This window comes from Homo sapiens, chromosome 5 (genome assembly GCF_000001405.40).
Source record: "Homo sapiens chromosome 5, GRCh38.p14 Primary Assembly".
In the NCBI taxonomy this organism is placed as follows: domain Eukaryota; kingdom Metazoa; phylum Chordata; class Mammalia; order Primates; family Hominidae; genus Homo; species Homo sapiens.
In genome coordinates, this window is record NC_000005.10 from 32,221,262 (window position 1) to 32,246,385 (window position 25,124).

The window sequence follows — 25,124 nt, forward strand, 5'->3', positions numbered from 1 at the left end:
TGTCAGTACCCCAGCTTCCTCACTCTTCTGTGGGACTATTCCAAACATGCTCCACATGGTCTCTCGGGAGTCCCCAGGGGGCTGGCCCCAGTTGCCCACAGTAATCACTCGTTCCTTACTGTATCTGTTATTCTTTGTTTTCCCTTTCTCCGTTCCCCATCATTTCACAGTGGTACCTGGGAACACTGCCCAGATAAACCACTTGCACCCAAATCCTTGATCCAGAGCCTGCTTCTGGGGGAATCCAAACTAACACATATAGACCTCAGGCAAAGAGCTCCTAGGCAGCAGCCATGGTGGACAGAAGGCCACCAGCAGAATTCATATGCCCTGGGCTCCCGCACAGCTCTAAGGAATGAGCAAGGAGGCCCCCAGATATAACCATGAATATCCAGTAAATCAACTATAATGTAATTATGATAGAATTTCCAGTAAATCTGGTAGGATGTCATAGATTGACCTAAGTCAACTTGGCCATTCGGCAATGGTGATGTCCTTCTGGTGTCAGTAGCTTCTGGCAGTTAGAGGCAGGCAGAGCTATAGCTCCCTGCTTCCATCACCACCACCTCCCCAGCAGTGGTGTTTTACAATGACAGCGGGAGCCTTGGACTTTTGTTAACAGCCCAAAATTTCCGCCTTTTTGCTGTAGGCCCGAGTGATTGCTGCCAAAATGGGCAAATTCATGAAACCTGGGAAGGTGGTGCTTGTCCTGGCTGGAGGCTACGCTGGACGCAAAGCCATCATTGTGAAGAACAATGATGATGGCACCTCAGATAGCCCCTTCAGCCATGCTCTGGTGGCTGGAATTGACCGCTATCCCCTCAAAGTGACAGCTGCCATGGGCAAGAAGAAGATCTCCAAGAGGTCAAAGATCAAGTCTTTTGTGAAAGTTTATAACTACAATCACCTAATGGCCACAAGGTATTCTGTGGGTATCTTATTCCCTTAGACAAAACTGTCATCAATAAGGATGTCTTTAGAGACCCTGCTCTTAAACGCAAGGCCCCACGAGAAGCCAAGGTCAAGTTTGAAGAGAGATATAAGACAGGCAAGAACAAGTGGTTCTTCCAGAAGCTGCGGTTTTAGATGCTTTGTTTTGGTCATTAAAAATTCAAAAGAAAAAAAAATAGTCGTATTTCCTGTTCTTAGACTTTGTGGAGGATTCCCACTCTGTGTCCTCAGGCCTCCACACAATACCTTGCATGAAAGTTTTACTCTTAAGTTAGATACAGGCTGGGCGTGGTGGCTCACACCTGTAATCCTAGCACTTTGGAAGGCTGAGGCAGGTGGATCACTTGAGCCCAGGAGTTACAGACCAGCCTGGGCAATATGGCAAAACCCTGTCTCTACTAAAAATACAAAAATTAGCCGGGCACAGTAGCACGCCCCTGTAGTCCCAGCCACCAGGGAGGCTGAGGTGGGAGGATCACTTGAGCCTGGGAGGCGGAGGTTGCAGTGAGCCATGACTGTGCCACTGCACTCCAGCCTGGGTGACAGAGTAAGACCCTGTTTCAAAACAAAAACAAAAAGATGCTACGAGACAGCAGGACCAGCTAACCCTGCAGTCCGTCTGGTGATGTGGAGGGTTTTTAGGCCTCGTTCTCTGCTCTGATGTGTTTATACTGCTGGGCCTGATGGATTTGTATATCCTCTAGGTGTGAAAGTGAGGCCTCTTTGACATTTCTAGCCAACCACATACCTCAAGTACCCACTCATTGCACCTTTGAAAGATGATTTTTAACATTCCATGTGCTGTTCAACAAACCTTCTGGGATAGATTTTGAAAACATTTGAAGTGCTTATGTAGCCACCTTTGGAACCTGGGTTCCTGTTTAGGATACTTCAAATGTTAATTGTTCCTGGGGTGCAGATTAAGTTTAAACACACACACACACACGCACACACACACACACATCCCTCTGTTTACATGATGTATGTAAATGACCACACACATAGATAATAATAGCTCCATGTATTGAATATTTACATTATAATAGACACTTATCCTTAAACCTCCAACTCTCCAGTGAGGTGGGTTCTGGGCATGGTGCCATTTTACTGATGAGGAAACAGAGATGGAGGGATGTTATCCTAGTTTGTAAGCTGCAAAGCAGGGATTCAGACTCAGGCAGTCTGGCTTCAGAGAGCCAGAACCAGGCACGGTGGCTCATACCTCCAAACCCACCACTCTTGGAGGACAAGGCAGGAGGATCACTCAAGCTCAGAAGTTCAAGACCGGCCTGGGCAACATAGTGAGATTCCATTTCTACAAAATGGAAGTCAAGGCTGTAGTGAGCTGTGGTCACGCCACTGCACACCAGCCTTGGCAACAGAATGAGATCCTGTCTCAAAAAAAAAAAATTTTTTTTTTTTTTTGGCCAGGCGCGGTGGCTCACGCCTGTAATCCCAGCACTTTGGGAGGCCGAGGTGGGCGGATCACGAGGTCAGGAGATCGAGACCATCCTGGCTAACACGGTGAAACCCCGTCTCTACTAAAAATACCAAAAAAAAAAAAAAATTAGCCGGGCCTGGTGGTGGGCGCCTGTAATCCCAGTTAGTTGGGAGGCTGAGGTGGGAGAATTGCTTGAACCCGGGAGGCAGAGGTTGCAGTGAGCCAAGATCGTGCCACTGCACTCCAGCCTGGGCGACAGAGCAAGACTCTGTCTCAAAAAAAAAAAAAAAAAAAAAAAGATATACAATGCTACCATCTACCATCACTCCAGAACATTCCCTTGTGCACCTTCCCAGTCCACCCCTGCCCCACCCCCACCAATCTCTACTGCTTCCCCCCACCCCACCCCCATCAGCTGGGGAGAGAGGAGAGGTCTTTTCCATCCTCTCCTGGAGGCTACTGCAGTAGCATTCCAAGCAGAGTCCTCAGGGTCAGTCCAGGGATGAAATGCCATCCATCTGCATTCTTTTCCTTCCCAGGAATGGCATGCACTTGTGCCCTTTCAGTGCTGGGGATGAGTAAGCACAACATTCACTGGGCCCCAGACTTCTGCGAAGACAATTTGAAAAGTCCTCCATTCAGGATTTCATAAAAACATTCAGGTCCAGACAGCCCTTTATGAAACTGGCTAGCAAAATGGAAGTTTTTAAAAAACAAGTCCAAAAAGCTTACTGTGTGTGAACCTACAGATTATATATTGAAAAAAGCTTACTGTGCATATTTTCATATAGTAACACACTTTATATCCTTTAATTGCTAAGGGCAGACAGTGTAATAGGGGATTTAAAAAGAAAAGAACCTGGGTCTGAACCACAAAACAGGCTGAGATGTCTGTTTTCAGACATAAAGCCACTCAAATTACTTTTCAACACATGATATTTAAAACACTGATTTTGCACTACCCACAGCTAGCCTGGTTATCAACAAACTCAAGTGTAGGCACTTGGACACATCCCTGGTTACACTGGAACCCACGGTACAAACAGGGTCTTGCCTCTCCCACCCTCATGCTAGTACTTTTCAGGGTGTTGTATGTGTGTGTGGAAGGTGGACCCAATAAGGCCATGCATCTCTATAGCTCTTGTCTCTGCAGCAGGGCAGGGGCATCCTGCGTGCTCAGCCCCAAATTGTCCTGCCCCAGGGACACATTTATAAATAATCTAGAGCCACAGTGGGACACAAGCCCAGCACACGACCACAGGAAGGGCTCAGAAAACAGGCTTGCTTTATTCATTTATTTATTTATTTTGAGACAGAGTCGCTCTGTCGCCCAGGCTCGAGTGCAGTGGTGTGATCTCTGCTCACTGCAAGCTCCGCCTCCCAGGTTCATGCTATTCTCTTGCCTCAGCCTCCCAAGTAGCTGGGATTTCAGGCGCCCACCACCACGCATGGCTAATTTTTTTGTATTTTTAGTAGAGACGGGGTTTCACCATGTTAGCCAGGATGGTCTTGATCTCCTGACCTTGTGATCAGCCTCCCAAAGTGCTGGATTACAGGTGTGAGCCACTGCGCCTGGCCAGAAAACAGGCTATAGACAGGCCCCCCTCTGCCTCCAACTCCCTTAATGATAGGGGACGTGAAGGCACAGGGGCTAGTTCCCAACAGGAGCCGACCCCCCACCCTGTTTCACACTGGACGGAGAACATTCCACTCTTTACTCCCCAAGTCCCTCCATGCCCTCACCTGGACATCAAGGAACAAGCAAAATCAAGAGTGAGAGACAGCTAAGTCCACCAAAAGTACAAGAGCTAAACAAATGTGGAAAATAAGACGAGAAGCTGCTAAACTCTACGGTCACAACTACTACTTGGGAATTTAATACAAACACCAAAGAAGCAAAACATCTGAAAAGCACGTGGCATCCATGAGAGCTTATTAAATTCCAGGGGTGTCTCAGAGCTAGCTTTCTGGACATAGTGTGCTGGCCAGATAGGAAAGGGGGATGGGGACAAGCAGCAGAGTGGGAAGCCTCCTCTGTAGGTAGGAAAGGTCAAAGAAATATGAGCCTTGTTTCTCAGAACATACAAAGTGCTATGTCTCAATCTAGTTAAGTATTAAAACGAATTAGAAACAAATCCTACTCTCATAAGCCATCTTACCCTGTGCTCGCTCACTTAACCTCTCTGAAAGCAAAAACAAAGCCTTTTTCTATCTTTCATGGTTTAAATGTACTCAGATCTCTTCCAGCAATTTTTATTCCAGAGTAACAGAATTCTAATTTTACAGATCCCCACAAAAAGCAGAGAGGTAATAATATTTAATTTCAGGGTTAAAAACTCTTTTCTTTTAATCACCCTATCCCCACCCTATTTTTTCTTCAGCATTTTATCATCACCTGGGATTTTTTTTTCTTTTCAGACAGAGCCCTCCTCTGTTGCCCAGGCTGGAGTGCCGTGGTGCTATCTTGGCTCACTGCAACCTCCACCTCTCAGGTTCAAGCGATTCTCCTGCCTCATCCTCCCAAGTAGCTGGGATCACAGGCATGCGCCACCACACCCAGCTAATTTTGTATTTTTAGTAGAGACAGGGTTTCACCACGTTGCCAGGCTGGTCTTGAACTCCCGACACTTCAGGTGATCCGCCCGCCTCGGCCTCCCAAAGTGCTGGTATTACAGGCGTGAGCCACAGTGTCAGCTAGATTTTTTATTATTTTTACCTTAGATTCAGAGGGTACATGTGCAGGTTTATTACATGGGTATATTGCGTGATGCTGAAGTTTGGGCTTCAATTGAACCCATCACTCAAATGGTGAACACAGTACCCAATAGGTGGTTTTTCAACCCTTCCCTGACTCCCTCCCCATTTTGAGTCCCGTGTCTGTTGTTCTTATCTTTACGTCCAATACCCAATGTTTAGCTCCCACTTATGAGAACATTCAGTATTTGGTTTTCTGTTTCTGCATTAATTCACTTAGGATAATGGACTCCAGCTGCATCCATGTTGCCGCAAAGGACGTGATTCCATTCTTTTTTATAGCTGTATAGTATCCCATGGTGTATATGTACCACATTTTCCTGATCCAATCCATCACTGATGGGCACCTGGGTTGATTCCATGTCTTTGCTATTGTGAATAGTGCTGTGATATACATGTAACTGCAAATCACCTATTATAAATATTTGTTTGGTTATCGGTTCCCACCACCAAACCTCCCTGTGCCCCACAAGAACGCAAACTGCACTCTTCCCTGCTGTCCCCACTGGCCCTGCCAAGTACCCAGTACATGCTCAATATTTCCTGAAAGAATGAAACGGATTACTCCATGTGTTATACCAACCACACCAAGTACAGTATTGCTTGTAAATTGTGCTTTAATTTCTGCAATCAGATATGATGCAGTGAGATACAAGTATAAACTTTCATTGTGCATCCAGAAAATAAAAAGCACAAGTATACAGGTTTAGCTCAACAGCTTATTCCCTTATAAAGAAAAAAAAAGTTTTGAATTAAAGCTAGTTTATCTTCAGTGTAAAAACTTGGAGGTATAAACAAACTCAAGATATTATATACAGTAAATTAATTTACATTTCCAAACTTGCACAGTACAGCATTTTAAACAAAGTAAATGGTCTCATTTCAGCTCTCACTGTTAAGCATAATCCACATCCCAATCTCAGATAAAAATTTCACAATATATAAATCCATTGAGAATTCTGTACACAAATACGAGTTATAGAAATCTGATTTCAAATATAAATACAAAAATTGTCATGACCTTACACGTTACAACAGCTTATTTTTCTATTGTAATTTTAAAAAATCATAGAAAAATATGTCAATGCACATTCAACTGCTATGACAAAGGCCATGACCTTGTGCCTTTAAACCATACTTTGTAGAGTGTAAAGCATCACACCGGGCATTTTTGGAATGAAAATTACAAAGCCTGAAGAGGCTACTGTATAAATATTCACGTTATAACGTGGTAACAAAAATAGCTCCATAGCATATTTGGGAGGCAATGGGGCAGAGAAGGAAGTGGAGGTTAGTGCTAATTTAAGAAGGCCTATAGAATGTATGTGAAGGTAGCTAAGGAACTAGTTAGTGTATTTTAAAATCCCTATTGCAAGCCTAACACTGACCTCGCTAGTAACTCTTAAGGCAATCAAGACGGAACATGTGTTTGGCCCCCAGATGCACGAATCCTGCCCTCCCCTCAACCTTTGTTCATCCTAACAGACCAACCTGGCTCCTGCATTAATATGGAGTGGGGAGAACAGCAAAACAATTCACTGTATGTACAAAAGACAATTCAGTGCAAACCTAGAAACTTCTCTTAGTCAATAGTTTCCAATTTTCTGAGACGAGGTCTTGCTCCATCACCCAGGCCGGAGTGCAGTGGCACGATCTTAGCTCACTGCAAACTCCACCTCCCAGGCTCACGGGATCCTCCCACCTCAGCCTCCCGAGTAGCTGGGACTACAGGCATGCACCACCACACCCAGCTAATTTTTGTATTTTTAGTAGAGACAGGGTTTTGCCATGTTGCCCCGGCTGGTCTCGAACTCCTGGGCTCAAGCAATTCGCCCACCTGAGCCTCCCAAAGTGCTGGGATTACAGGCGTGAGCCACCACACCCGGCCTCAAATTTTCTTATTGCCCTTGAGCAACTGAAAGTTTTTCCGAACATGTAACATTCAAATTGGGATCCATACTGAAGAGCAAATATATGTAAAAGGCGAACATTCAATTTAAAACATTCTAATGAGTTTTGTTTTTTTCCTCTTTTATGCGATTTGACAGGGTTCCACTGAGAACAAAAAAATCTGCTCCTTACAAAGTATACTTTCCTGCATTAAAAAAAATATATATCATATATATGATATATATATCATATATATGTGATATATATATATCATATATATATCATATATATGTGATATATATATATATATCATATATATGATATATATATATCACATATATATCATATATATATCATTTAGACAGCAGATCCAAGAAGGTGACCAGGCATAGTCAAGTTTCTTCTATGGCTTTTAAAATCACTGAGGTATCATATGATAATCATCACTTCTGATATTTATGTTTAAGCTGCTTTCCTATGAAAGCCACATTCAAAAGTGACCCAATCCCATCAGTCCATAAAGGTAAAAGAATGTGAGGAACTCGGCTCAGGGGTTGCGGCAGAAAACTGCAATCACAAGTGCTCCAAAGCTTCAGCAGGCAAGTAGAAAAAGGCGAAGCGATTTGTTCCAAACAAGGAGAGACTCCAGAGGAATGGACGCTCCTCAGGAAGGATCTCAGGCAAAGAAACAGATCCCCGCAGCGTAACCAAGAGGTTTGGCAGTGAGACACTGGGACTACACGCACCAAGGCAGGGAGTGCAGAGGGACAGCGGCGAGTGGTGTGGAGCAGGCGGAGGAAGACCTGGGGCTGGCAGCACAGAAAAGAGGGTGGTGGCTGGCTAGCCCCCACCCACAGGCAAAGTGACACGGTCTGTGAAGAAGGGAGGGTGGTCTGAAGCATCAGGATGGATGACACCAGTGGAACTTCCCAGGTGTTTTACAGGCAAGGGGGCGTAGAAAGAAAAAAATGTGATGGTTTAAGTAAATGCCACACATCTTAATACCTCTATCTGAATCTTCAACTCCCCATACAAATACATAAAGCTGAACTTGCTTCTATAATTGAGATGGGTTACACAGAAACTTACTATTCCCAATGACTGGATAAATTATCTTGGCACAAAGAGGATCTGAAGAAAGTATCAAGTCCAAGAATATCTTACTGAAGCCCTTTCTGGTAGTAAACTGGCCATTGTGGGCTCTGTATAATACTTAGGCATCAGAAAACGGCCACAACCCTATTACGGGTCAAGTAATAATTCCTTCCAATTAGTAATACTACAGATGCGGTTTTAATTGCATAGTCTTTTAGAATCATGAAAAATAATGAGAGCCACCTCTTTTCCCGAAGGCCCAGGTTTATTCTAACGGAGTGCCGGGCTAAGGACCCAGCCAGCATGAGCTGTAGCGTGACACAAATCCAGGGATCAGCTGTCCCAATCTCCCACATTCCTCTTTCACAATCACTCAACAAACAGGTCACACATCCCCTAGGTCCACGAACTCATCTTCTCGTTTGGCCAAATCGTCTTCATCTCCCAAAGCTTTCCAGCCACTGGTGGGTAAGACGGGCTTAGAGGAATGTCGCTGGAGCAGAGCGAAAGGAAACAAAGACGAGAGGCGGGCAGAGTTCCTCAGCAGGCAGGGGGCCTCAGCCTGGGGGGCCTGCTGGCTGTGGTGTCTCTCGTCGATCTTCTCTTGTAAACTCTGGACTTCCTCCATCATTTCCAAGAGTTTGCTCAGAGTGGCCACTTGGCCACCACCTAGGATTTGGGCTTCTGGAATCCAACGTAGGTAGCGCTGGGCCCAGACTTTGATTTCGGGCCCCTCGATATGCGGTAACAACAAACCATGGTAGTCAGTGGACTTGCTATGCCAGCTGTCATAGAACTCTCGAAAGTTGTCTTGGAGCTCATCAGAAGAATTAATAAGTTTGCTAATTCTCTTGCCCAGAAGGTTTTTAATTAAATGATCTGTTTCTTCCCTGAAAAATCCTCTTTTGGGAGATGACTTAGATTGTGTAAGTGGCAAAGAAAGTTGTCGTTGATGCTTTGAGAGAAAACACAAATAAAAATCACTGGTTAACATAACAGGCACAGTTAACAGCTGTTACCATAACAAAAAGAGCATAACCCTGCTTTAACAAGTTCCAAGAGACATCAGTGTTGCCATGTGAATGCACACTCATTAACACGCTGTGACATCCAGAGGTGGGGTATTCCTGTGTATTGCCATGGTGCACACTGTACCAGAAACAAATGGGGAAGCAGGTGCACGTGGCAGCTGTGCAGAAAGGCATGCTGGGACACAGAGAAAGGAGCTTTTGGTGCCCTCCTCCTCTGTCACAGGGGCACCACAGGACACAAAGCACTTCTGAAAAAGCTGTTTAACTTAAGATAGTTTAATGATTTAGGGGAACTTGTGGGTCAGGCCCATTCATGTTCTAAAGGGAAAAAGATGTTTCTTCTTTGAGAACTTTAAGGCTGTTAACCACTACAATCTTCTGAACAACTGCAAGGAGGCACTGCTAACTACCAGAAGATACTATCACATGGGTGAAATAGCAGCTTATCAGGCATCCAGTGGGAGTTTAAGCCGAAGTCATAAAGATTCTTTTAGATACAGAAAACAGGCAGGTGAGAGCAAAGAAATGTGATGAGCCAGCTAAGCTGACCAGACTTGTCTGGCAACCTGCATGGAGTAGAAAATGGGAGAGCATTTTCACATTTTCATATTTCCCCCCTTGGTCATTCTCTCTGTGGCCAGAGCAGAGTATTATATTTGGGGGTGCACTGAGAAAGGGTTTTGAGGCTGGGCGCAGTAGCTCATGCCTGTAATCCTAGCACTTTGGGAGACCGAGGCGGGCAGATCACCTGAGGCCAGGAGTTCAAGACCAACCTCAACCTGGCCAAAATGGCAAAACCCCATCTCCACTAAAAATAGAAAAAATTAGCAGGGTGTGGTGGTGGGCACCCGAGGCTGAGGGAGGAGAATTGCTTGAACCCAGGAGGCAGAGGCTGCAGTGAGCCGAGATCACGCCGTTGCACTCCAGCCTGGGCAATGACAGCAAAACTCTGGCTCGCAAAAAAAAAAAAAAAAAAAGGGTTGTAAAAGATGGATGTGGTCGGAAGGTCATGAGGGTTCCCCAGTGCCCAAAGCAGAAGTAAAAACATGTGGGGAGAAGCTGTTTGTCCAGCTCTTTTGCTACTGTTCATTTGAAGTAAGAAGAGATAACAACTTAATTTTCAGGTTCACTCTAAAACTCTCTAACATATTTCCATCAATGGTTCTTCCTTGTAAAAAGATATTCTTTATTGTAAAGAAAATTATTTCCTTATTATGAAATATGGAATAACAATAAAAATATTAAAAAGAAAACAAAACCATCCACAAGACCACAGCTCGGAGGTGACCAGGATTTGACTTTCCATCCAGGGTCAGGAAAGATGAAGGCCAGGATTCAGTGGCCTCTCTTTTTCTCCATCGTGAAGATGTGTCAGGCAGGGCAGGGACTACACTGAACCACCACCCAGTGCTTCCTGCCTGCTCGGTTCTGTGCTCAGTACTCACATTCACTGAGCACCTCATTCTCAAAGTCACTATTATTGCCCCACTTTACAAGCAAGGAAACTAAGGCACAGAGGTAAGCAATCTGCCGAAGGCACTGCTGCTCAGTGCCAAAGGTGGTTCAAATAGTCTGGCTCCAGAGCCTGGGCTCTCTACTGAGCTCTCCTTGGTCCTGGAAGCCCCCTTCTCTCTATCTCCTAAGCAAAGGGAGCACTCAAGACCAGCTGACATGCCAGCAGCTCTGCAGGCCAAAGCCTGGCCCGGGCCTGCGGCTGACACCGAGGCTGCACACTGGAATGGGTCCCCCCCACCGTGTGGCATTTGCACGGCAGCACCACATGCTGCTCAGCCCCTGCTTCCTCAGAGTCTCTGCAGAACTTCCCCCAGGCCACCAGGCCGCTCAACACATTGCTCCACCTGATATCTGGTCTTCTTACCCAAAGGCTTCAAGGTTTCTTGTCGCCCCCGTCCCAACTGTGATTTAGCTAGTGCAACCTGAAATTCTCCACCCCTTCAGCTCAGTCCTTTCCCACCTGCCAACTCCTGGAGCTTAGGCTGTCTGTCCCTATCTCCCAAGGAAAAGAGATGATTAGAAAAGCTAGGTCTGAGGAGAGAAATGAAATCCATTATTGGAAGGGGGAGCCTTAGGTTCCTCCCGTAACACAACAGACGTTGTCCTCGCTGTCTCTGAGGTCCCCTGCCACTCTGGCACAGGGCAGTTTCTCTGGTGCCAATCCAGCTCTCATGAGAATGTGCATGCAGCCACCAGGGGGCACAACACACTGAAGAAAAACCAATTTCTGGCCAAGCTGTTCTGGGGCTCAGGGCAATTCTGGTTAAACTGGCAGAAGAGGCTCAGCCAGAAAGGGGAAACTCCACCCTGGGCCTGCGGCCCCTAAAAGGGCAAAGTGGCCATTCTGAGTCGTTCAGCAGCCAACATCGTCTCTGCTGGCCGTGGCTCACCCAGGTCCCCAGTCCTCTTTAGAATGGAACCAACTCTGACACCAGAAAGGGCCAGGCTTTCTGAAGCCCTCCAGATCAGGCAGGATAAGGATGGCATGGAGAAGGCAGTGACACACATCGACTTAGACTTACCATCACTGCTCTCTCCTTTGTGGACTCTGTGGGGGAGAAATTCTGGGCCTGGAGACAGAGCTAGGAAATGTCAGTTAAATAATTCATCAGTTAGGGAACTTTGGGATTATCAACTAAAATGACTTTCTGACATTTGTGGCTCATAGCATAGGTCAGCAAACTGGCCACCCCTCCGGCCAAATCTGGCCTGGCGCCTGTTCTCGTAAACACTGGAACACAGCTATGCCTACTTGTTCACCTACTAAGGCTCCTTTTTTTTTTTTCAAGTAAAGGAATAAAGAATGGCTACTCCAAGGGCAGAGCAGACTAAGGCTTCTTTTGTACTACAACAGTAGAGGGGTAGTTGTGACAGAGACTTTGCAGCCCTTGACAGAGTTTTGCAACCTGTGGTTTACAGGCACAGCTCATTAAGAAAAGTCTTACTATTTATTATAATAAATGAACTGGTATCGGCCAAGTAAAACCCACACAATCAATGTTCCTTTTACTCTACTAACACACACACACACACAAACACACACACACACACACACACACAGGCAGGACAAGAGGCACGATTCCATGGAGTATGACCAGGGTGGCAGCATCCACAGTGACATCTGGCAAATGGCCCTGTTGTACCAGGGCAAAGGTGATTTGCTGAAAGCAAAGGATTCTAATGGCCCTTGACAATTTGACCATCACAAGTCTCAACTCTGCAGACTGCTTCGAGGGGTAGAAAATGCTGGCAGACAGAATCCGTAAGTACCTTTTATCATTACATGCACGGGGTCTGGGCAGCTGAAGGGGGTTTAGACATGTGGACATCTTACTTTGAAGCGCATTCCTTTCCGTTGGCCTTTGTCCAGTTTTGGCTTTTCCACATAAAGAGGGTTTTTGAGCAATGTCTGGGCTTTGGGTTCAAACTGCACCGACCAATCCCACACGGTGAGCAGATTCAAAGGCTTGCTTTGTGTATCCTGGCCTTCTCTACCCTGCCAAAACAAGCACAGGTCATGCTGTTTTCCAGGGAGGGCTGAGGAAGGCAAACACATACTTCTGGACACAGGCACCAGGAAGCATGCTCCTGCTCTGCCCTGAGAATGAATAATCATGGGCATTTAAGGCTGAGGCTACCTGTGGTTATTCACTACAAGCTTTTGGTGTGGGAGGAGGGCAAGAACAAGGACACTTCCTTTCCAGCAGTCTACACGCCAGCCGCTGTGCTGGGTGCTTCCACAGCCTCGCGAGGCAACTGTTGTTTTTCCAATTTTACATTTGAGGAAACCAAGGCTCAGAAAACTGAACTGCCCAAGGTCACAAAGCTGGTGAGTCACAAGGCTGAGCTCTGAAAGCAGGGCTGTTGCTCCTACTTCACTGGGGGATTTGGTAATCCTCCCAGCTCAAGCAAAGCCTGTAGCCCTCAGGAGGCTGCTCAGAAGCACTGAGATTATCTAATTGGGGGCACAGTCCAGGAAGGGCCAAAAGGGTTAAGATGGAAGGAAAAGGCTAGCTTCCCTGATCTGCTGGTCCCCATTCTCTTCACAGAGGAGTTCCAGGCATCAGGCAAAATCGGAGGACATCTGGTCTAACTGTCTTTCAAATGGACAGCTTTGAATTTTGCTTAATTCCCCAGCTTCAACACTTGCTTCCAGTTCCAATATTTACCATGTGACCACGAGTGAGTTACTTATCCTTTTTTTGCCTCAGCTTCCTCCAGGATAATAAAAATGCATATGCCATAGGGTGCTGTAAGGAGTAAGTATTAATACCTAAGAAGCTCTTAGACCAATGCTTGGTATGTAGTTAGTGTTCAATATCTTTTTTAAAATATGGAACGTCTCATGAGTTTGCATGTCATCCTCTCGCAGGGGCCATGCTAATCTTCTCTGTATTATTCCAACTTTGTTTAGTGTATGTGCTGCCAAGTGAGCACCATTTTATTTGTAGCATCAGTATTACTGCATCCTACTTGTGAGAAGAAGCCTCTTTAATACACAGGTTCCTAAGAGGGACTCTTACCATGTTAGTATCTTTTTGATGAGGTGAATTGAAGAAGAAGGTGCTAAAAATAGGTATATACAGGCTATCTGACAAAACAGTCAGGTAAGTCTCTGTGAATTCAAATGCCGGGGGATGCTGGTGCACCAGCTGCCAGACACAATCTAGGAAAAGCAGGAACACAGGAACCTGCATGAAAACAAGATACGTTACTTGGTGGGCAGAGCCCAGAGCAAGCCATCCTGAGTTCAGGGGGCAGCCACCTCAACAGCTGTGGAATAAGCACTTCTGAGGACTTCATTCTCTGGGAAACACAGAATACTCCATACCATCCCAAGTGAGAAATATGCTCAACTGAAATCACATGCTTGCGATTTACATGCCTATCTGTGTCAAAGACATTTCAAAGACGAAATATGTAAAAACCTCATTATGGATCAGTGTTACAGATGAGCATCTGCAATTGATTCTGATAATAGAAAACACTAACTTAGAACCCCAATTAAGCAAAATATTATCTCCTCCAAAAAAATTCCATTCTTCCATTAGTAGTACTGTATTACCAAACAATGTACTTAATTATGAGTGCTACTTTGAATTTTGTCAATGAAAAGTTACGGGGGGTGGGAGGGAACTTCTATTCCCCACCTGCCCACACACTAACTGACAGGGTTTGATCTTGGAGACCAACGTGGAAGGAGAAGCCTCCTGTCCACCCCGCAGTGAGGGCCCAGAAGACAACGGGGATGGGAGACAAGGGAGAAGCAGTGAAAGTGAGTTTCAAAATGTTTTCAAAATGCATCTTTACAAATCCACAAGCCTCATTTATTAGCTCCCAGAGGCGAGCCCTTGATGAGCAGGGAGAGTAGTTTCTAGTGTGCTTTATCATTTAGAAAGCGCTTATCCTCCCTGATTAACCAGTGATCCTGCCAGGGGGCTAAGAGAAGCTATGTTAGTCTCTCCCTTACAAAGGAGGAAAGGGAAGATTGGAGATGCCTGGAGGCCGGTCCCCAGGGTCTCACACAGGGCTCATGTTTCTTTTCAATTTTCCTTCAAAACTCCAATATGTCCATGTTGAGATGCTAAGAAACATTTGTACAGCAACTTTATTTCACACTTCATTTTATGCATAATATCATTAAATAGAGTGGAAAATATTTGAACTGCAATGTATAGGCAGGGCAATAGGCTCAGAAAATACAAGTGACTTCTCCAAGGGCTGGGTGAACAGCAGCAGATCAGGTCTCTTCTTAGACCTCAGACTCTTTCCCCATTAGACATGGTGCCTGCCAGTCCCCCTTTTCTCAAGATATACAAAAACATATGGGTAGGCGCAGTGGCTCATGTGTGTATTTCCAGCACTTTGAGAGGCTGAGGCAGATGGATCGCCTGAGCCCGGGAGTTTGAGACCAACCTGGGCAACATGGCAAAACCCATCTCTGCAAAAAATACAAAAATTAGCTAGGCATGGTAGTGTACACCTATAGTCCCAGCTACTCAGAAGGCTGAGGCAGGAGGATTGCTTGAGCCCAGGGGGTTGAAACTGCAGTAAGCCATGACTGTGCAACTGTATTCCAGCCTGGGCAACAGAGAGAGACCATGTCTCAAAAACAAAACAAGGCCAGGCGCTGTGGCTCACGCTTGTAATCCCAGCATTTTGGGAGGCTGACATGGGTGAATCACCTGAGGTCAAGAGTTCGATACCTGACCAACATGGTGAAACCCTGTCTCTACTAAAAATACAAAATTAGCCGGGAATGGAGGGGAATGCCTGTAATCCCAGCTACTTAAGAGGCTGAGGCAGGAGAATCACTTGAACCCAGGAAGAGGAGGTGGCAATGAGCCAAGATTGTGCCATTGCACTCCAGCCTGGGCAACACGAGCGAAACTCCTTCTCCAAAAAAAAAAAAAGAAAAGAAAAGAAAAGAAAAAAAACAACCATACTCGTCTCCACAAAGTATCAGCTCTCTCTGCCTCCCATGTTATGTAAATGCCATCAACCTTTCAAATTAGTTTCTTCAAGTCCCTTCCAGGACTGAAAGATGTGATTTCTATTCAGCTCAATGGGACACAGATAAGTACAGGCCAGGCCTGAAAGAAACCATCTTGCTCAGTGAGAGAGACCTGGATCACCCAAGGAACCTGCCAAGCCCTTACGATCAGGAGCCATGGCTCTGTGTGCCCACAGCATTCTGTGTCAAGCTGTTCTGTACCACAGACAGACATGCTGACTACCTGGAGTATGAAAAACCACAAGTAACACTGCTAGCATACGTCAGCGCTGCAGGTGAGTTGATTAAAGAAAGTTTGTGTGTTTTCATTTTTCCTTCCAACAATCATCAATAAGGCAGCCAAGGGAGTGTGTACAGCTGTCATCTAGACATGTACACCACAATCTGGGGGACTCATTTTCACCAGGTGACCTAAAATGCTAACTCTCCTGTGCCTGAACTTGGAGGTCCAGGCCTGGAGCGATTAGTCCAGACAGAAGCAGAAGAGGCTATGGGGACATTCCCACCCACGCTACCACTAAGGCCCTGGTAACAGATGGCATTAACATAACCCTGTGCTTTCTTCTTTTTTTTTTGGAGATGGAGTCTCATTCTGTCACCCAGGCTGGAATGCAGTGGCACAATCTTGGCTCACTGCAACCTCTGCCTCCCGGGTTTAAGTGATTCTCCTGCCTCAGCCTCCCAAGTAGCTGGGACTACAGGCATGTGCCACCACACCCGGCTAATTTTTTGTATTTTTAGTAGAGACGGGGTTTCACCGTGTTAGCCAGGATGGTGTCGACCTCCTGACCTTGTGACCCACCTGCCTTGGCCTCCCAAAGTCCTGGGATTACAGGTGGGAGCCACCGTGCCTGGCCCCTGTGCTTTATTTCAAAAAGGTTTATGTGCAAGGAAAATTGACTCTGAATGGCCAGGTGTGGCGGCTCATGCCTGTAATCCCAGCACTTTGGGAGGCTGAGGCAGGTGGGTCACTTGAGGTCAGGAGTTCAAGACCAGCCTGGCCAACATGGCGAAACCCCATCTCTACTAAAAATACAAAAAATTCGCCAGGCATGGTAGCGCACACCTGTAATGCCAATTACTAGGGAGGCTGAGGCAGGAGATAAGCTTAAACCCAGGAGGCAGAGGCTGCAGTGAGCTGAGACTGCACCACTGCACTCTAGCCTGTGCAACAGAGCAAGACTCCGTCTCAAAAAAAAAAAAAAAAAAAAAAAAATTGACTCTGAAAATCTGAAATCATTCAGTTCCAAAATCTAAAACTTTATTTATTTTGAGATAGGGTCTCACTGTCACTCAGGCTGGAGTGCAGTGGCACAATCATGGCTCACTGCAGCTTTGACCTCCCAGGCTCAAGCAATCCTCTCACCTCACCTTCCCTGGTAACTGGGACTGTAGTCAGGCATCACCATGCCCAGTTTATTTTATTTTATTTTTATTTTTGGTAGAGATGAGGTCTGTCTATGTTGCCCAGGCTGGTTTCAAACTCCTGTTCTCCCAAAGTGCTGGGATTACAGGTGCAAACCACCATGCCAGGCCTCCAATTTTTGGATTAAGGATGCTCAACCAGTAATGGAATGCAAATATTCCAAAATCCAAAACAATTTGAAATCTGAAACACTTCTGGTCCCATGACTTTCAGATAAGGGATGCTCAACCTATATTTTCTGTAGAAAACCTGCACCCTGAATATCTTTTTATTGCAAAGACTAATTTTGTAGAAAAGGTAGGAGTCTCCCTCACTGAGTTACTTTATATTTAAGTCTTATTAATAAATATTATTCCCACTGTGAAATATGTATACACCCTTGGTGTACACAATTTAGAAAACTCTGAACATACTTGTTAATATCTCTTTCCTCTGGGAAAGGTTTCACTATTATTTAAAGTATCCAAAGTCATCACACAATGAAACGATCCTAGTTTTCTTAACAAACCTGTTTGGCTTACACTTTGCAAGCAGCAATCCTACTACATCTGATGACAGGTATTAAATAAGAGATTCAGTAGTTCTCCCTATGACGGAAACAGTCTGCAGTGAGGGAACTCACCTCCTCTTTGTCGTTCTGGCGGAGATGGTTGCAGCGATCCAAGAAACAGTGGCCACCCATGACCCACTCCTTTTGGATGAGGCTCTGGAAACCAATTCTGGTTCTGCAGTGGGGGTCCATCATCAGTTGCACCAGAGAGGAAATGAGACAGCAGAGGTCGGATGCATTCTCCTCTAGGAGAGGCCCCAGCAGCAGTGCAAAGAGGAAGGAGGGCATAAAATGTTAAAAAGTTTCAGAATGCTCTCACTTGCACAGTTAAAAGTAGGATTCCCAACACCAAGGTCTACTATTAACAGTCATGTTCTTATTCCCTAAAGGCAAGGGCCAATAACAAAGGGTTATGTTTTCAGACTGAGACATGAACTGCTCTAGCATGTCTAGTACAGGTTCTGGCATACGCTGGTACTAAATGTGGATTTGCATACTGAATAAATAAATGCAGCACTGCAAAGCTACTTTCAGCTTGTGGGGGTCTAGGTGTGCCACACAGAGACAGGAGAATCACCCACATAATGATGACCTGCCAGGCTCCGCAGGCCAAGACTAAAGCTCTTCCCTCCTAGGGTGTGGAAGCCTCCGTCACTGAACTCCTCCTGGGGTGTGGACGCCTCCGTCACTGAACTCACTATTTCATGGCTCAGCTGCTTCTCAAACTCACCTCAGACATCCCTTCCTCCACTCCTAAGTCCTCCACTAACTCTACTTTGGAGAAAGTTTAATATTTCTTGACTGTAGCAAAATTATTTCTATTTTCAGCTCTAAGGCTCTGTCCTTTTCTGTTTGAGGGGCACAGAGGTGCCTGCTTCTCCTGCCTATCCTAGGAGACAAACTCTCCTTGGTCTACTTCTACATGCCCACCTGCCATGCACTTTCCAAAACTCATTTGATGAAAAGTCCACTCACATACTTGTTTAACATTCATGACTTAGAGCAAAAGAACCACATATCTTTATCCGTGCATTTGTCTTAAGAGTTTTAAGATCCTAAAAGTCAGGGTCTACATCCCCATAGTTTCCCTTTCACAAAAATAGGTGCAACTCGAGTTGTTTTTAAAAAATGTCCATGAGGAGGATGGTGCTAGTATCATTGGTGTTAGAGAAACTTAAGAATGAATTGTAGGCCGGGCGCGGTGGCTCATGCCTGTAATCCCAGCACTTTGGGAGGCCGAGGCGGGTGGATCACGATGTCAGGAGTTCGAGACCAGTCTGACCAACATGGTGAAACCCCGTCTCTACTAAAAATACAAAAATTAGCTGGGCATGGTGGTGCACGCCTGTAATCCCAGCTACTCAGGAGGCTGAGGCAGAAGAATCGCTTGAACCAGGGAGACAGAGGTTGCCGTGAGCTGAGATCGCACCATTGCACTCCAGCCTGGACAACAGAGGGAGACTCCGTCTCAAAAAAAAAAAAAAAAAGGAATGAATTGTAACTAGGGAGGTGCTCATATTGTGATAACTCTTTCATCCTGACCCCTATAATCACAGAGCACTATGGGTCCAAGCTTACACTTCTCCCTCCAGGAAACAAGCCTCAACTATGGGATGACATGGGTTACAGAGAAACAGATTTTCATTTTTGTCTTCTAGTGCTATCAATTTTCAAAACAAGTTTCTTTTTGGAGACAGAGTCTCACTCTGTCACCCAGGCTGGAGTGCAGCGGCACAATCTTGGCTCACTGCAACCTCTGCCTCCCAGATTAAAGCAATTCTTGTGCCTCAGCCTCCCGAGTAGCCAGGACTACAGGCACACAGGACCAAGCCCGACTAATTTTTGCATTATTAGTAGAGACAGGGTTTCGTCATGTTGGCCAGGCTGGTCTCCAACTCCTGGCCCCAAGTGATCTGCCTGCCTTGGCCTCCCAAAATTCTGGGATTACAGGTGTGAGCCACCGTGTCCAGCCACAAGTTTCATTTTTAAGGAACTCTTTCTTCTTGGATCTGAAGGGTGTTAATGATACTCCTGTGGGTAATGGAATGAAGGACTAAAAGAGATTTCCAAGGTGAGACAATTCAGTAGTCCATCCAGGAGTGAAGGATTTCTCAGTTCTATCAGTCAAAGATTCAAATTTCACTCTATGCAACTCTGTGATTAATGTGTTCTGGCCCTGAGTCCTTCCGTTTCTTAGACCTCCAATCTTTATCCCTCCCCCTTTTCACTAGTTGCTCAGTACTCAAATAATGCTCTGTTCTGTCACGGCTGGTTAGGTCTTTTTCAATAGCACACTTAAGGCAACTCTCTCATTAGGTTGCAAACTTCTTGAAGGCGGAACAGAGCCCTGCACATGGCAGAGGCTCAATAAATGTATTCAAATCTAAGTCGGTCAGCCAATATCAGATGGACAGAAGCCACAGAAAGATACATTTTCCAGGCTGCCCTTAGAACCCAGGGCCAACAGTTACAGAGTTTCAGAGAATGATAAAAGCTTGGGGGTATAAAGCATGAGACAATCTACTTAATTTATAGTGTGGGGCTAAACGAAACATAGTATTTCTAAACAGCAGGTAATATTTTAGCTCATATGTAACTAGTTACAGCACCAATCTTCCTTGCATGGTGGTTCACACTTGCTTTCGCACATTCTGAATGTTTGCATCATGTACAGCGAGTTAAGCCCACTGAGGAAAAGGAACTCACAGGCCACCAAGTTTCTATGGTAACTGAATAAAGTTGTCAACCACAAAGATATAAAAATAACAACCAAGTCATCCATGGATCTCTTTATATAAGAGGGATTCTAAAAAGATTTTAAATTTAACCAAGCTCAGTTAATATAAAACAAAATCCAAAACATTAAGAAATGTGAGCTTTGGTAAAGATACCAACAATTCCTTTGTGGACTGTGAATAGGTCTGCCAAGTGCAAAGTGAAAGAATTTTGTTTTAAACTCTAACACTGAAATCCAAGGCAAAGGATTCCAAGGTTAGGGAGAAAGGAATAGGAAGGATTTCTACACTAACTCACTCCTTTTGTTTCCAAATACATAAAGCTACATATACAAAAATTGAATCTCAAGTGAAGGAAAATGGAAATCATCCTTTGTGCTTCCTATATATTACCTAAAAGAAGAACATTCATGTTTTGTGCTTCCATACATTCTGTAATCTCTATTGCTTTTTTCAGGCAACGTCTGAATAGGAAAGAGACAAGAAAAAGGGGCATTAGTTCATGAGCTTGGTAACACAAACACTACGTAGTTGAGAGAGAGTCTGACTTGATCTTCAGTCTTCTCTCTTATTTTTTTTTTTTCCACGCTAAAATCCTCTAGAAAAGAAACGAACTTCCATTTACATTATTTAGATACTGGGATATATTCCTGCCCATTAGAAACTGAAAATTTTCAGGAGGGAATCCTAAAGTTGATGTGAAAATGCTCCTAGGTAATTTCTAAACTAGACATTCTTATTAAAAACTCACGCCTGAGTCTGCTGGTGAGCAAGATTCATAAAAATCCATACCTGGAGAATGTGAGACATGTCCAGATTGCTTTACTTAAGGTGACCTGCTGAATGTATCAGAATGGCTAAAAAGCTCCAATATGCTCAGAAATCCTTTTTGTCTCTCTCTACACGTTATTCCCTTTGCGACTGTTGCCGCTATTCCCAGCTTTGACTTGTATAACTGGGGGCCTTCACATCTGTTGTCTTCTGCTTGCAGACGTGTCCTCTCCTACCCCCCAGCCACCTTCCCTTCCCACACCCCGACTCTTCATCTGGCTAGAGATGCTCACCCTTCTCTGCCCACCCCACACAAAGAAGGGTTCTTTGCTTCCATAACATTTATCCCTGTCTGCCATTATATATTCAAATTATGAGACGTGTAGCAGGATGTCTGGAGCACAGTTCAGTGTCTGGAGGGCCAAGGCTCCTTTCCGCAGTACTCACTTCAGAATGGAGGGAGAATGTGTGTGAGGCAGTAGGAAGCATTGCTCTCCCTCCTGAAATGTAGCCTAGCATTAGAGCTACTCTGTCATCCTGATCATCATTTCTGTTTTGCACCTTTCTCTGCCATATCCTCTATTTAATGGCAACAGAGAAGAGCTATTCAATATAGAAAGTAGGAAAGGCAATATAACTGTTTTCTGGAACTCTCAACCTAACTCCCAAACCAAAAATAACTGACATTAATCATGGTTTTTAAAAACACAGATAATATATGCGTAAGACACAAGATTAAAAAAGGTATTCAGTGAAAAGTCAGTATCACTCCTGTTCTCACCCTCAGTTTCCTCCCTGGAGGCCAGCACTGCTGCCTCAATAATAATTCTGGGTTGTCACACTCTTTCTGTGTTTTTTCAATGCCTTGTCTGTAGAGTACATCTCCTTGTAAGCAGGTGGCATGTTCATAAATTCCTATCAAATGTGCACAGAAATAAGTAGCAAATATAAAATCTAGCTGTAGAACATGTGATCTAAGAATATTTAACTGTCAAATATCAAACAGTTAAATTATTTGTCGGTTTGATCTACTACCCTGAGTTATACAATTACAAAATTCATGAGTAAAACAATGGTTTGAAATACCTGATTATGTCAAGCCAGCTGCTACTTTCCAACAGAGAAAACCATTTTATATCTGTGTCCCAAAATTCAGTACTGTTATCTGAAAAAAGAAAAAGGAGTAAAGACGTCAGGTCATTGTTCACTGACATACTTGCCACAAAAATCCTGTGCTCCTCAACTGTGTCATTCAGATTAACAGTCCTGACTCAAACTGCAGAATCCAGGCACAGGACTCTATTTTGAGTAAGGGTCATTTCAAAACTTCAGCTGAAATGGTTTCTGAGCTGTAGGCCCCTAGAAGATTGTGGTGGTCAAAAAGAGATCTTTATTGCTGAAATAAGAAATTCCTACAATGCATACACAAAGCCATGGTTCATCCTGTAGGTCGACAGAGAGTAACATGCTTTAGGCAGAAATAGTTGACATCCAGGCTGTTAATTCTAGAAGTGGAAAATGCAACTGGATCCATCCTGATGCCACGGAAGCCTAAGGGTCAGGCTTAACTTTCATTAGAATCTCAATGCACAAGTTCGTCCACCCAGCATACCATGACATGACTCCTCCTACATGCCTTATAAAACAGAGAACCTTAAATCTTACAGAAATCCAATATATTTAAAAGCTGCAAACTCAGGCTGGGTGCTGTGGCTCATGCCTATAATCCCAGCACTATAATCCCAGAAGCAGGAAGATCACTTGAGGCCAGGAGTTTGAGGCTGCAGTGAGCTATGGTGGCGCCACTGCACCCTAGCCTTGGCAACAGAGTGAGACCCTGTTTCTAAAAAATGAAAAGAAAAAAAAAAAAAAAGGCCAGATGTGGTGGCTCACGCCTGTAATCCCTGCACTTTGGGAGGCGGAGGTGGGCGCGTCACCTGAGGTCAGAAGTTTGAGACCAGCCTGACCAACACAGAGAAACCCCGTCTCTACTAAAATACAAAAAAATTAGCTGGGGGTGGTGGCCCATGCCTGTAATCCCAGCCACTTGGGAGGCTGAGGCAGGAGAATTGCTTGAACCAGGGTGGCGGAGGTTACAGTGAGCTAAGATCGCACCATTGCACTCCAGCCTGGGCAACAAGAACAGAACTCCATCTCAAGAAAAAAAGAAAAAAAAAGTTGCAAACTCAAATCAATAAAAGACAGATATCCCTGAAAGTCCTGAGTGACTGAAATAAAACTAGAATGAGTGTCCTTGATTAAATAGTAAACATGTATTGTAATGTTTTAGTTTGAGTTAAGAGTCATACATTGCTGTTTCCCCTGCAAGAATATAAGCTCTTGGTGTTATATTTCTCTTTATCACCAACGACTAGCATAGTTAATATATACAAGGGGACTTCAAAAAGTATGTGAAAACATGGAATTAAAAGATGAAAATAAAAAATATAAACTTTATTTCTCAACATAAGCTCCATCAAGTTTAAGACACTCTCAACCCCCTCTAAAGAACTGAGGGTCCTGGGAATTTAACCATGTCATTGCAGTCTATTTTACATTATTAACTGAAAAAAAAAAATGTGTTCCCTTCAAGGATTTTTGTGTTTTTTTTGAGATGGAGTTTTGCTCTTGTCACCCAGGCTGGAGCGCAATGTGCAATGGCACAATCTCAGCTCACTGCAACCTCTGCCTCCCGGGTTCAAGCGATTCTTCTGTCTCAGCCTCCGGAGTAGCTGGCATTACAGGTGCCCACCACCATGCCTGGCTAATTTTTGTATTTTTAGTAGAGATGGGGTTTCACCATGTTGGCTAGGCTGGTCTTGAATTCCTGACCTCTGGTGATCCGCCCACCTCGGCCTCCCAAAGTGCTGCAATTATACACGTGAGCTACTACGCCCAGCCCCCTTTAAGGATTTTTTAAGATTAGAAAATGAAGTCAGAAGAAGCCAAATCAGACTTTTAAGGTAGATGCCTAATGAGTTCCCATCAAAACTCTTGCAAAATTGCCCTTGTTTGATAGGAGGAATGAGCAGTAGAGAAGGACCCTCTGATGAAGTCTTCCTGGGCATTTTTCTACAAAAGCGTTGGCCAACTTTCTTAAAACACTCTTATGGCTGGGCATGGTGGCTCATGCCTATAATCCCAGCACTTTGGGAGGCCGAGGAGGGTAGATCACTTGAGGTAAGGAGTTCAAGACCAGTCTGGCCAACATAGTGAAACCTTGCCTCTACTAAAAATACAAATATTAGCCGGGTGTGGTGGTGCACACCTGTAATTCCAGCTACTCAAGAGGCTGAGGCACAAGAATCACTTGAACCCAGGAGGTGGAGGTTGCAGTGAGCCAAGATCACACCACTGCACTCCAGCCTGGGCAACAGAGTGAGAATTTGTCTCAGAAAAAAAAAAACCTCTCATAAGCAGATGTTTTTGTGCTTTGGTCAGAAAAGTCAACAAGCAAAATGGCTGGAGCATCACAAAAAACTGTTGCCATGACCTTTGCTCTTGACATATCTGCTTTTGCCCTGGCTGGACCACTTCCACCTCTCGGTAGCCATTGCTTTGATTGTATTTTGTCTTCAGGATTGTACTGGCAAAGCCATGTTTCTTCTCCTGTTACAATTCTTCAAAGAAATGCTTCAGGATTTTGATCCCACTTATTTAAAATTTCTGTTGAAAGCTCTGCTCTCATCTGAAGCTGATCTGGGCACAATGGTTTCGGTGCCTATTGAGTAGACAGTTTTTTTTTTTTTTGAGATGGAGTCTTGCTCTGTCACCCAAGCTGGAGAGCAGTAGCGTGATCTTGGCTCACAGCAACCTCCACCTCTCGGGTTCATTTTCCTGCCTCAGCCCCTCCAAGTAGCTGGGATTACAGGCACCCACCACTACGTCCAGCTAATTTTTGTATTTTTAGCAGAGATGGGTTTCGCCATGTTAGCCGGGCTGGTCTCAAAT

General features: G+C 44.8%; 1 protein-coding gene and 2 pseudogenes across 3 annotated transcripts in view, besides 4 other annotated features; 1 reads left to right on the top strand and 2 right to left on the bottom strand.

Moving 5' to 3' along the window:
- Nucleotides 636–1,125, top strand: RPL27P10 (ribosomal protein L27 pseudogene 10; annotated as a pseudogene).
- Nucleotides 2,742–3,036: a silencer, noted in NCBI's record as "tiled region #2864; K562 Repressive non-DNase unmatched - State 23:Low". NCBI's record gives its function as "represses a minimal TATA promoter and a strong SV40 promoter by Sharpr-MPRA in K562 cells {active_cell/tissue: K562}" and the evidence as "EXISTENCE:reporter gene assay evidence [ECO:0000049][PMID:27701403]".
- MTMR12 (myotubularin related protein 12) overlaps nt 5,746–25,124 on the bottom strand; it is an 85,933-nt gene continuing 66,554 nt past the window's right edge. The window contains exons 11-16 of one of the 3 annotated variants that reach the window (NM_001040446.3): nt 22,260–22,338; nt 20,796–20,866; nt 17,740–17,912; nt 13,701–13,868; nt 12,512–12,673; nt 5,746–9,086 (exon numbers count right to left, since the gene is read on the bottom strand). In NM_001040446.3, coding sequence (NP_001035536.1) covers nt 8,517–9,086; nt 12,512–12,673; nt 13,701–13,868; nt 17,740–17,912; nt 20,796–20,866; nt 22,260–22,338 — 1,223 coding nt within the window. In that variant the 3' untranslated portion in view covers nt 5,746–8,516. The remainder of the gene's footprint in view (nt 9,087–12,511; nt 12,674–13,700; nt 13,869–17,739; nt 17,913–20,795; nt 20,867–22,259; nt 22,339–25,124) is intronic. The other 2 variants (NM_001294343.2, NM_001294344.2) reach the window with 2 other exon arrangements.
- Nucleotides 10,373–10,918: an enhancer, noted in NCBI's record as "H3K4me1 hESC enhancer chr5:32231740-32232285 (GRCh37/hg19 assembly coordinates)". NCBI's record gives its function as "activates a minimal SCP1, AML or CMV promoter by ChIP-STARR-seq in primed H9 embryonic stem cells {active_cell/tissue: H9 hESC(primed)}" and the evidence as "EXISTENCE:reporter gene assay evidence [ECO:0000049][PMID:30033119]".
- Nucleotides 10,919–11,463: an enhancer, noted in NCBI's record as "H3K4me1 hESC enhancer chr5:32232286-32232830 (GRCh37/hg19 assembly coordinates)". NCBI's record gives its function as "activates a minimal SCP1, AML or CMV promoter by ChIP-STARR-seq in primed H9 embryonic stem cells {active_cell/tissue: H9 hESC(primed)}" and the evidence as "EXISTENCE:reporter gene assay evidence [ECO:0000049][PMID:30033119]".
- Nucleotides 12,317–12,788: an enhancer, noted in NCBI's record as "MTMR12 eExon fragment used in the reporter construct". NCBI's record gives its function as "activates a pGL4.23 vector minimal promoter by reporter assays in HepG2 cells and mouse liver" and the evidence as "EXISTENCE:reporter gene assay evidence [ECO:0000049][PMID:25340400]".
- Nucleotides 13,506–13,614, bottom strand: RNU6-1079P (RNA, U6 small nuclear 1079, pseudogene; annotated as a pseudogene).